This window comes from Homo sapiens, chromosome 18 (genome assembly GCF_000001405.40).
Source record: "Homo sapiens chromosome 18, GRCh38.p14 Primary Assembly".
In the NCBI taxonomy this organism is placed as follows: Eukaryota; Metazoa; Chordata; class Mammalia; order Primates; family Hominidae; genus Homo; species Homo sapiens.
In genome coordinates this window covers 79,911,151-79,923,216 of record NC_000018.10, presented here as the reverse complement: position 1 = coordinate 79,923,216, position 12,066 = coordinate 79,911,151, and the positions used below count along the sequence as shown (strand labels likewise).

At 60.2% G+C, this 12,066-nt stretch overlaps 1 protein-coding gene across 17 annotated transcripts in view, besides 1 other annotated feature; it reads left to right on the top strand.

Moving 5' to 3' along the window:
* The window catches only part of SLC66A2 (solute carrier family 66 member 2), a 49,234-nt gene that overhangs the window by 28,437 nt on the left and 8,731 nt on the right, over window positions 1-12,066 (top strand). For 9 of the 17 annotated variants that reach the window (NM_001146345.2, NM_025078.5, XM_047437831.1 and 6 more), the window contains one exon: window positions 3,817-4,033. The exons of 5 other annotated variants lie outside the window; for them this stretch is intronic. In NM_001146345.2, coding sequence (NP_001139817.1) covers window positions 3,817-4,033 — 217 coding nt within the window. Of the gene's footprint in view, window positions 1-3,816; window positions 4,034-6,737; window positions 7,030-7,522; window positions 7,828-12,066 lie in introns of those variants that run through there. 3 more of the 17 variants (XR_007066224.1, XM_047437832.1, XR_007066225.1) reach the window with 3 other exon arrangements.
* Window positions 9,929-10,845: an enhancer, noted in NCBI's record as "H3K4me1 hESC enhancer chr18:77672372-77673288 (GRCh37/hg19 assembly coordinates)". NCBI's record gives its function as "activates a minimal SCP1, AML or CMV promoter by ChIP-STARR-seq in naive H9 embryonic stem cells {active_cell/tissue: H9 hESC(naive)}" and the evidence as "EXISTENCE:reporter gene assay evidence [ECO:0000049][PMID:30033119]".

Here is a 12,066-nt window from a genome sequence, read left to right as displayed (position 1 = left end):
CGTCCACAGCCCCCCTGTCCATAGCCCATCCTGCTCAGCCCCCCTCACTGCAGCCGGGCTTCTTCATGAAATACACATGAGCCCACGCCCCGCTGTGTTCTGGGAGGTGCCGCGTACCATGCCCATCCTTCCTCTGGCCTTGCTTCCTGTGCAGCCCCTTTCCAGCTCGGATGCCGAGCAGCGTCTCACTCAGAGTGAGAGAGGGTGGAGCAGGAAGAGAGGCACAGATCTAGGGTCCAAGGGGATGGGGAGAAGGTGCACAGCCTGGCCACCCCTGCCCTCACTGCACTGCCAGCCCCACAGGCAGCCGGCCCCCGACACCCCTGGCCTCTCTGCCCTCTGATGCCCCCAAGCCCCCCTAACCTCACCATACCCCAACCCCCCCAATCCCTCTATCCTCACCCCTCAGCACCCCCAACCCCCTCGACCTCACCGCCTCCCATCACCCCACCCCTGCAGCCCATGCCCTGGCCCTGCTGCTGTAAGGAGAGGTCAGGTGCGGGCCTTGCAGGCTTCTTGGCAGGTTTGTCTCCGTTCACCTTTTCCCTGCCGCTATGTCCCCTGGACTGCACATGTCCACCTGCCTCCTTTAATTTGCTAATTTCTGAGAGTGCTTATGAGTGTGGTTTCTACAGAATACAGCATCTAGCAAATGACATCGTGCAGGAGGGATGTGGTACGGATTTACTGAGCGGCACCGTGGCCGAGGCGTGTTGTAGAACTCAAGATCAACTCGTTGAATCCCCAGAATGTCCTAGGAGTGGTCTCTGTCTCTTCCTGGTAACATCTGAGGAACAGGAGACCGTGGTTAACCCGAGGGGGGCTGCGCCCCTAACCCAGGCGTCAGATCCAGTGCAGGGCACTCCCTGCACTCTACGGCTTCTCAGAGATTAAGATTAATTTGAAGGATTTTAGCTTTTTTTTTTTTTTTTTTCTTTTCAAAGAGACAAGTGTCTCTGTGTTGCCTAAGCTGGCCTCAACTCCTGGGCTCAAGCGATCCTCCCTCCTTGGCCCCTGAAGAGCTGGGACTGTAGGTGCCCACTGCACCTGGCCTGATGTCAGCGTCTTTTATGTTGAGTTATTATTTGTACCAAGGCTCCTTCAGGGGGGCATGATCAAGAACACATGGCTCCTCCCTGATTTGACCCCTCGCTCAGTTCCCATCTCTCCTCACCGACCCTGACCTCTTACTCTGCTCCCAAGTTCCCGTCTCTCCTCCTCTGACCCTGCCCTCTCCCTGGGTTCCCGTCTCTCCTCCTCTGACCCTCGGCTGCCCCTCACGCTCTTGCTCGGTTCCCATCTCTTGTCACTGACCTTGACCTCTCCCTCGGTTCCCGTCTCTCCTCACTGACCTTGACCTCTCCCTCGGTTCCTGTCTCTCCTCCTCTGACCCTGACCTCTCCCTCGGTTCCTGTCTCTCCTCCACTGACCTTGACCTCTCCCTCGGTTCCTGTCTCTCCTCCTCTGACCCTGACCTCTCCCTCGGTTCCTGTCTCTCCCCACTGACCTTGACCTCTCACTCGGTTCCATCTCTCCCCACTGAGCTTGACCTCTCACTCGGTTCCTGTCTCTCCTCACTGACCTTGACCTCTCCCTCGGTTCCTGTCTCTCCTCACTGAGCTTGACCTCTCCCTCGGTTCCTGTCTCTCCTCCTCTGACCCTGACCTCTCCCTCGGTTCCCGTCTCTCCTCACTGACCTTGACCTCTCCCTCGGTTCCTGTCTCTCCTCCTCTGACCCTGACCTCTCCCTCGGTTCCCGTCTCTCCTCACTGACCTTGACCTCTCACTCGGTTCCTGTCTCTCCTCACTGACCTTGACCTCTCCCTCGGTTCCTGTCTCTCCTCACTGACCTTGACCTCTCCCTCGGTTCCTGTCTCTCCTCCTCTGACCCTGACCTCTCCCTCGGTTCCTGTCTCTCCTCACTGACCCTGACCTCTCCCTCGGTTCCCGTCTCTCCTCACTGACCTTGACCTCTCCCTCGGTTCCTGTCTCTCCTCACTGACCTTGACCTCTCCCTCGGTTCCCGTCTCTCCTCCTCTGACCCTGACCTCTCCCTCGGTTCCTGTCTCTCCCCACTGACCTTGACCTCTCACTCGGTTCCATCTCTCCCCACTGAGCTTGACCTCTCACTCGGTTCCTGTCTCTCCTCACTGACCTTGACCTCTCCCTCGGTTCCTGTCTCTCCTCACTGAGCTTGACCTCTCCCTCGGTTCCTGTCTCTCCTCCTCTGACCCTGACCTCTCCCTCGGTTCCCGTCTCTCCTCACTGACCTTGACCTCTCCCTCGGTTCCTGTCTCTCCTCCTCTGACCCTGACCTCTCCCTCGGTTCCCGTCTCTCCTCACTGACCTTGACCTCTCACTCGGTTCCTGTCTCTCCTCACTGACCTTGACCTCTCCCTCGGTTCCTGTCTCTCCTCACTGACCTTGACCTCTCCCTCGGTTCCTGTCTCTCCTCCTCTGACCCTGACCTCTCCCTCGGTTCCTGTCTCTCCTCACTGACCCTGACCTCTCCCTCGGTTCCCGTCTCTCCTCACTGACCTTGACCTCTCCCTCGGTTCCTGTCTCTCCTCACTGACCTTGACCTCTCCCTCGGTTCCTGTCTCTCCTCCTCTGACCCTGACCTCTCCCTCGGTTCCCGTCTCTCCTCACTGACCTTGACCTCTCACTCGGTTCCTGTCTCTCCTCACTGACCTTGACCTCTCCCTCGGTTCCTGTCTCTCCTCACTGACCTTGACCTCTCCCTCGGTTCCTGTCTCTCCCCACTGACCTTGACCTCTCCCTCGGTTCCTGTCTCTCCCCACTGACCTTGACCTCTCCCTCGGTTCCTGTCTCTCCTCCACTGACCTTGACCTCTCCCTCGGTTCCCGTCTCTCCTCACTGACCTTGACCTCTCCCTCGGTTCCTGTCTCTCCCCACTGACCTTGACCTCTCCCTCGGTTCCTGTCTCTCCTCACTGACCCTGACCTCTCCCTCGGTTCCGTCTCTCCTCACTGACCTTGACCTCTCACTCGGTTCCTGTCTCTCCTCCACTGACCTTGACCTCTCCCTCGGTTCCTGTCTCTCCTCACTGACCCTGACCTCTCCCTCGGTTCCGTCTCTCCCCACTGACCTTGACCTCTCCCTCGGTTCCTGTCTCTCCTCCACTGACCTTGACCTCTCACTCGGTTCCTGTCTCTCCTCACTGACCTTGACCTCTCCCTCGGTTCCTGTCTCTCCTCCACTGACCCTGACCTCTCCCTCGGTTCCTGTCTCTCCTCACTGACCTTGACCTCTCCCTCGGTTCCTGTCTCTCCCCACTGACCTTGACCTCTCACTCGGTTCCTGTCTCTCCTCACTGACCCTGACCTCTCACTCGGTTCCTGTCTCTCCTCCTCTGACCCTGACCTCTCCCTCGGTTCCCGTCTCTCCTCACTGACCTTGACCTCTCACTCGGTTCCTGTCTCTCCTCACTGACCTTGACCTCTCCCTCGGTTCCTGTCTCTCCTCACTGACCTTGACCTCTCCCTCGGTTCCTGTCTCTCCCCACTGACCTTGACCTCTCCCTCGGTTCCTGTCTCTCCCCACTGACCTTGACCTCTCCCTCGGTTCCTGTCTCTCCTCCACTGACCTTGACCTCTCCCTCGGTTCCCGTCTCTCCTCACTGACCTTGACCTCTCCCTCGGTTCCTGTCTCTCCCCACTGACCTTGACCTCTCCCTCGGTTCCTGTCTCTCCCCACTGACCTTGACCTCTCACTCGGTTCCGTCTCTCCCCACTGACCTTGACTCCTCACCTGGACCCTAAGCTGTGCTGAGGCTGCTTCTCCCTCTCGCCCTAGACTTCGACCCCCACCACTTCTGGCAGTGGAGCAGCTTCTCGGACTACGTGCAGTGCGTCCTGGCCTTCACGGGCGTGGCGGGCTACATCACCTACCTGTCCATTGACTCCGCCCTGTTTGTGGAGACCCTGGGCTTCCTGGCTGTGCTGACCGAAGCCATGCTGGGTGTGCCCCAGCTTTACCGCAACCACCGCCACCAGTCCACGGAGGGCATGAGGTAGGCCGGGGATGCCGCCACGGAAGCACCACTGCTCCAGAGGCACCACATGGCTGCAGATTTGGTAAAAATCAAACGCCTGTGTGTCTGGCTGTGTATTTCCCACGTTGACCTGTGAAGCTGCCGGTTAAAGAATAGCAGGTTTATAGGCCTTGGCCCCTCGACCTCGCGCTGGAGCAGATGAGCTTGTGTGGGCCGCATGAGGGGCAGCCGAGACCCAGCACGGGGTTGGGAGCTGCTCCTTCAGGGCCGTTGAGACGGAACCTTCCAGTGGGAGGGATGTCCGAGTGCCTGGCCAGACGGGGCAGGAGGAGTGCAGGGCAACCAGCCTGGCCCAGGGTCAGGGCGGGTCTGGTGGGGCAGGGAAGGTGGTCTGGGGGCTGCCTTGGACACTGTCCTCGGTCTTTCCCCACTGGCCCCAGCACGGCCTCCGGCCTCTGAGGTATGTGGTAGAAGGCTGGGCAGGCTGACGTTCGGAACCACAGACCATGCCTGGGCGCCCTGCACCAGTGCGTGCCTGGACGTCCCCGTGACCGCCAGAGGTAGGGCACAACGCGAGCAGCATGATGCCCACGGGCTCAGTCAAGGTCCTGGATGGAAACTGCATTGTAATAAAAACAGATCTGCTCGCTGTGGCGGGGGCAGAAAACTCTAGTCCCTCACACTTTCGACCCCCAGGCCCGCTCCTCACTGGGGACCCCCCGGTGCCGCTCCTCACTGGGGACCCTCCCCGGTGCCCGCTCCTCACTGGGGACCCCCCCCCGGGCCCGCTCCTCACTGGGGATCCGCCCCCCGGTGCCCGCTCCTCACGGAGAACACCCTGAGCCCCCACACGTTGCTTGAGTCTGGTCTCCAATACAGATGCTGAGGCTGTGATTTGGAGGGAATGTTATTCTTGGATTTGTTATTTGTGGGAAACAGCCTGGAAGAGAGGGGCTGACGCGTTTTTGTGTTGGAGAACGGGTGCCCAGGGGCCACAGCACTCTCTTGAGGGCTTTCAGAGACCTCTGAGTATTTGCAGGTTTGGCGTGTGGGCAGAGGTGTGAGGGCCGGGGGTTGTGTGTAGGTTCAGTTGCCCGTGAGAGGTAAAGGTAGGAGGGCTTGTCGTAGGTGTGGGGTGGTGGTAGGGGGTGAGATGTAGGTGCAGGCCAGGGTTATAGGTGTGGGTTGCAGTTACAGGTGTGTGGCGTAGGTGTGGGTGTGGGACATAGGCACAGATGTGAAGTGTAGGTGTGGGCTGGGGTGTGGGGTATGGAGTTCCGGTGTGGGCTGTAGGTAGAGGTGTGGGGCATGGGTCAGGTGTGGGGTGCTGGCATGGTGTGAGGTAGGTACAGGTTGGGGTGTGGTGTGGGGTGCAGGTGGGGATTGGGCTGCCCTGGTTGGTGTGATTACAGTGAATCAAGACCAGGGGGGTTGCTGGGGTTTCTCGGGCGAGGGTGCATGGAGGCCCGAGAGGGTGTCCATGGCTGGAACAGGCTCCCTCACTGTTGGGTTGGGCAGTGGCAGCCCTGAGGGCTTCGGTGTGGAGCCCAAAAGGCAGGGATGCTCCCAGAGAGAAAGTGGGTCTCAGGGCGGGCGTCGTATGTAGGCTCCCCGGCTGGACGTGGGCCTTGTCCGGCGGAGTGTGGCGTCCCCAGCCACCCCACAGCTGGAGATCCTGTGGGCAGTGCCCGCGTGCCGAGCTTGCGACCTGGAGATCTGTGGGAGGTGCCTGGGTGCCAGGCCTGTGCCCTCCAGAGCATCACCACAGCCTCGTGGTGAGGGTCTAGCGGATCCGGACCCCACATGCCGGCCTCCTGGCCCCTCACAAGGAGCTGGCCGTGTGTGACCTCACAGGGGCCCCAGGCTTGGCAGGAGCTGTTGCTCTCGATTCCAGGGTAGCAGGTTTTGCTGTTCAGCGCAGGCATGTTGTTCAAGGTCTCAGCCCAGGGGCTGCCCCGTCAGCTGGGGGGACGTGGGAATCCTCTTCAAACCCGAGTTTCCAGATGCTGGCCGAGGCGGCCCTGCAGGCAGGCCTGTCTTAGGCCCTGAGGTCTGCTCTTCTCACACACGGGGAAGGCTCCAGAAACGCCTGTGGAAGGGGGGTCTGTGTGTGGAAGAAACACATTGGACGTGCTTTTCCTGTTCTCACTCACTTCACCACAAGCAGCACACACACTTCCATGTGCAGGCGTCTCCCCAGCACCGAGCAGGCAGTCGGTCCTGCGGCGGGCACCGCCGGTTGTCCTGACCCAGAGACAGCGCCAGATGCCACCCACACTTAGACACCCATCGCAAATCTGGGCCTCTGGAACTTCTGGGCCATGTTAGGGTTCCATGACCCCTCCTTGGGCTCTGTCAGCTTGCTGGAGCGGCTCACAGAGCTCTGGGAAACACGGTTGCTGATATTTTACAAAGAGCATTTTAAAGGACAGACATAAACCGCCGAGTGAGGGGATACACAGAGGGAGCTGTGGAGGGGTCCCCAGGCAGGAGCTCGGTCTCGTGGAGTGGGGCTGCCGCCCTCACGGCACACAGATGAGCTCCTGTTCACTCTCCTGCCGGCTCCCGCAAATTCAGCTCTCCCCGGAGCCTCCCAAAGCCTGTCTACTTGGGAGACCTCATTGGATAGGCGTGATGGACAATGGTGTTGAAATGTGATTGGACCTAAGGGTGCGACGTGAACCCAGCAGGGTCTGTTGAGATTCTTCTGTCCTCTGTGCAGGCTCCTTCCTCCAGGATGTCGGCAGGACCCTCTCTGGAATGAGGGTTAGAGTCCTGCCTGGGCAGGTGAACAGAGGGCAAAAGGTCAGAGAGATTCTGTTTTCTGAGGCCTAAAGCACCCCAACGTCATGACAAGAGCTACAGAAGCACTGTGGGTACGGGAGCACCACGGGTACGGGAGCACCACGGGTACGGGAGCACCACGGGTACGGGAGCACTGCGGCTATGAGAGCACCACGGGTACGGGAGTGCCGCAGGTACAAGAGCGCCGCGGGTACGGGAGCACCGTGGGTATGGGAGGGTACGGGAGCACTGCGGGTACGAGAGCGCCGCGGGTACGGGAGCACCGTGGGTATGGGAGGGTACGGGAGCACTGCGGGTATGAGAGCACCGTGGGTACGGGAGCGCTGTGGGTATGGGAGCGCCATGGGTACGGGAGCACCGTGGGTATGGGAGGGTACGGGAGCACTGCGGCTATGAGAGCACCGCGGGTACAGAAGCACTGTGGGAGTTAGCACCCTGGAACCGTGGATGAAAACCCGTGTGTGTGGGATGCGGATACACTTACACACATGTAAAATAGTATTGGGGGTGCTGTGTGGGCGAGATGGGAGCCGGGGTCATGGTCCTTTGCCTGCATACTTCTCCTTGGCTGCGGAACTTGGAACGTGTCTCAGGGATCCCAGGAGGTGCAGGTGTTCTACCTCTGAGTTTGCCCTGCTCCCTGGGTGAGTGCCAAGCCCCTGTGAGATCACCTGGGCTAACTTCTGCTTTTATAAACCTCAGGTGTGGCTGGGGACGGGATGTCACAGGCACCCCATCTCCCCATCGGGCCACAGGAGGCTTGGCCTCTGTCCCTGCCGGGAGGGCCGGGCAGAAGACGGGCGACCCACACAGCTGGCACGTTGTGAGGGCTTGGATGGAGTCCTGAGGCTGAGGGAGATGGAGCAGTCTCTGCGGAGGAAGTAGGCAGCGAGGTCAGCCAGCTTCAAGTGCGGGACCGCTGAGACCCTGTGCATCCTCGTCAGGAACGGGGACCAGGAGCAGCAGCGTCGGGTCGGCTCGGAGTGATGGAGTGTGTGGTTGTAGTTACGGTAATGAGCGCCCCGGAGAGTCTGTGCACTGAGGCCCTGGCCTGGCCCCGGGGGGATGGGGAGGGGACAGGGCGGGCCCTGGGGGGATGCGGAGGGGGTGGGGCTGGCCCCGCCCGTGCTGCCGGGAGCTTCAGCCCTCCCCAGGCCCAGTTCATCCGGTCTGCGCTTTTAAGAGTGACCATCGGGCGGTTTTCCCACTGGAACACATAAGGCGTTTGCTGCTAGAACGCACAGCCAGCCTGACCCCATGCCTGCCAGCCAGGCAAAGTCTGGGGTCTGCTTGTGGGGACGTTGCCTCTGCATGGCCTGAGGGAAGGTTTTGGGAGGGTTCTCACTAAACGGGAAAGGGAACAGGACCACTCCAGGCCCAGCCTTTGTGCCGCACGTCCTTATTTCTGCTGCTCTGACGCCGCGTTTCACCTTGGCCCTGGGTTTTAGTATCACCCGAGTGTGAATTCTGGAGGCCCAGCAGCTGCCTTCCACAACCTGAGACGCCACCTGGCAGCCTGGGCAAGGCAGGGCCTGCAGGGCTAGGGCCGGCGACCTGGGGGCTGTTCCTGAGGCTCCCTCTGGGCAGGGCTGAGTCTGGAGCCGGCTCCACTTGCGCGTCTGAAGCTCCGTCTCTTTGGGCCTGTGGGCCCTGCCCACCTTCCTCCCTTGGCACTGCAGCCTGTGGGGCACAGGGTCCCCACCTCTGCCCCCCTTGCTGTGTGGTCTTCTGGCTTCTCCGCATGGGTCCAGGCCACCGCTCCGTGGATCTTCAGCCCTCCCCGGCCTGGGTTCCACTCGCTCTCCAGACGCAGCTTGGGCAAGGGGGTGTCTCTCCCCTTTGCCACTTCCTGGGTGCTCCTGTGGTACCTGCCTGTTCCTCCGGGGCCACGGCAGCCTTGGGGTGGGCTGGAGTGACCCCCCACTTCCTGCTGTCAGACCACCCCCCATCTGGAGGCAGGTCAGAGACGTCTCAGGTTCCTTTGTGCTCCGATCTGCCTGATGGGGGCGTCGTGGTATCCCCAGCCCTGTCAGGAGTTGTGATTCTTGAAGCCATTGTGGGTAGTGGTTTCTGAATGCAGGTTTGATAGATCATGTGTGCTTCCTGTATAATCTCCAGGGTCGTGTTTAAGATGACGTATTTAAAATGTGCACACACACGTACTTAACAGATACCCAAAAAACCAAGACTTTGGGCTGGGCGCGGTGGCTCACGCCTGTAATCCCAGCACTTTGGGAGGCCAGGGCAGGTGGATCACAAGGTTAGGAGTTCAAGACCAGCCTGGCCAAGATGGTGAAACCCTGTCTCTACTAAAAATGCAAAAATTAGCTAGGTGTGGCAGGCGTCTGTAATCCCAGCTACTCAGGAAGCTGAGGCAGGAGAATCACTTGAACCTGGGGGGCGGAGGTTGCAGTGAGCCAAGATCGCGCCACTGCACTCCAGCCTGGGCAACAGAGTGAGACTCCATGTAAAAAAACAAACAAGACTTTGGTGGCGAATGGTGACATGAGCCTGAAACGTGACAGCCTGAACTTCAGCTCCTTTTCTCTGGGGACCTGCTAGTGCCACTGCCCTAGGTGAGGGAGGCGTAGATGCTGCCTGGAATCTTCCCTGGGACCCACAGCCTCAGCTCCACATTAAACCGAAGGTCTCTAGGATGTTTGATAGGAAGTGACTCAAGAATTCCCGAGTTGATCTCGTAGCAGCCCTGCTTCTGGAAAGTCCTGTGTCTCGTGTACTTGCACACACGTGCACAGGCCGGCATGCACAGTTGCCTCCATGCGCGCGTGCGCGCATGCACACACACACAGCGATGCACACACGGTTTCCACCTGTGAGCAACTGCCGGAGGCATTTTTGAACAGTGACTTCCCTTTAGAAAATACTACGTGGTTGTAGTTTCTGAACCAGTAATGAGATGTGATAAAGCTTCAGAAACAGCTTTGCTAATTAACACAGCAGGCTCCGAAGGGCGGATTTTCTGAGAGTGTTTGCATTCCTCTTCCTCCAGTTTTTACTGGATTTGAAGACTGTTCCCTGACAAGGATTGGAGGGTGAGGTGGGTGTAGATGATGAGGGCAGCGGGGGTGCGTTGGTGTTGACAGATGGGGAGGAGCCTGAAATGCGGAATACAGACACCGTGGCTGTGGAAGAGCCTGGGCAGGTGCCTGTGTGGACCCCGACAGTGTGTGACCACCGTGGCTGAGTGAGGATGGGTGACCAGGCAGGTGTGGCATGGTGCCTGCAGCAGGTGAAGCTGAGGCTCAGGCCGCCCCGCAAGGAGAGGATTTCAACTACGTCAGTCCTCACCCCTTGGGGCTGCCCCTGTCCAGCCAGGACATGGGCTGGATCCAGAAGCCGAGCTCTTACCCAAACTCTAGAGCAGGCTGTGTGGGTCCTCAGCCTCTGGGCATGTGGCATGTCTCCCCTGGGGCCACGTCTTCATGACACTCAGAACCCCCCCTCACCCACTGTGCCTTTCCTTATGCCTTTGATGCAGAGCAGGCCCCTGTGGTTCTGAGTGGAGTGAGTGCTGCACAGGATGCCTGGGTTAACAGGAAGCAAGCTCGGTGCACGCAGGCTGGCCCATGTGACAGGAGGGTTCAGCGGAGGCTCTGGAACATTACAAAGTGTGACCCGCCTGAGATGTGACTCACATCACAGCATACTCACGGGGCTGCCAAGCCAGCACCACGGTCTAATTCCAGAACATTTTCCGCACCCCAGGAAGCAACCCCGCGGCCACTGGCAGTCATTCCCACCGCCCCAGCCTCCTCACCCCCGCTGCCACTCCTCCACTTCCCATCTCCATGGGCTTGCCTTTCAGGACACATCACATCAGTGGTGCCTGATGACACGTGGCCTGGTGACACGTGGCCTGGCGACACGTGGCCTGGCGATATGTGACCTTGTGCTTGGCGTCTTTCCCTGCACTTCGTATTCTCAGGGTTCATCCATGCTGCAGAAGGGGTCAGCGTTTCTTTCCTTTTTGTGGTTGAAAAATGTTCCTTCCATAGATTTGCCACGTTTGCTCTTCGTTCTTCGTTCTTCAGCTGAGGGACATTTGGTTGTTTAACGTTTATGCTGTTACATGTGATGGACACTCATGAACGAGTTTTTATGTGGACGTAGTTTTCCCTTCTACCTGGGGGTGGAATCGCCGGTTGGATGTGACCCTGTTTCATAATTTGCAGAGCTGCCAGCCTGTTTTCCGTCCCCTCCCTGCTCCCATCCCCTCGCTGCTGCCGTCCCCTCCCTGCTCCCACTCCCTCCCTGCTCCCGTCCCCCCCACTCCTGTCCCCTTCCTGCTCTTGTCCCCTCCCTGCTGCCATCCCCTCCTGCTACTGTTCCCCTCCCTGCTCCTGTCCCCTTCCTGCTGCTGTCCTCTCCCTGCTGCCTCCCCTCTGCTCCCGTCTCCTCACTGCTCCTGTCCCCTCTGCTCCCGTCCCCTCTCTGCTGCTGTCCCCTCCCTGCTCCCGTCCCCCCCACTCCTGTCCCCTTCCTGCTCCTGTCCCCTCCCTGCTGCCATCTCCTCCTGCTACTGTTCCCCTCCCTGCTCCTGTCCCCTTCCTGCTCCATCCCCTCCCTGCTGCCTCCCCTCTGCTCCTGTCTCCTCCCTGCTCCTGTCCCTTCCCTGCTGCGTCCCCTCCCTGCTCCCGTCCCCTCCCCTGCCCTCTAAATGATGTAGCTAGGGGGGTGGGGGATGGCTGGGATTCCAGTCCCCGTGCCATGGTGGTGGAGCCATCTTCTCTGACAGAGCGTCCCGGCAGCTGGAATGTCCCCGCAGCCAGCAGAGCCCAGCCCAGTGATGGCTCCGTGCCTGCAGCTGCCATGCTGCAGAGCGCACCTGTGCGTCAGGGCCCCGGGGACGCTAACAGTGAGGGAGCCGGGCGGTGACCTGGGGACAGGGACAGGTGGTCCTGGGATCAGGCTTCAGCTGCACGTCCTGCCGGCCCCCGTCTGACCAGGGCTGTGTCCCGGCTGGAACTCTGGAGCCCTCTGTCTTTGTTGGTGTGTGCAGACCTGAGCTCTGCCACTGCGGAATCCTCACGGGGCGTGGGCCAGCCGCCTGCCTCCTGGCCTGCCTGGCTCCCTGGGGTTCTGTGTGTTGGAGGCGTCAGCAGGGAAGGGGACGGAAAGATGTCCAGGCCCCCACTGGCCCCTCAGGGCTAACCAGCCCCCTCCTAGGGTGGGCTCCGAATGGGCCTGGGCTCTGCCTGTGTGGTTGGGGCCTCAGGAGTGGCCCC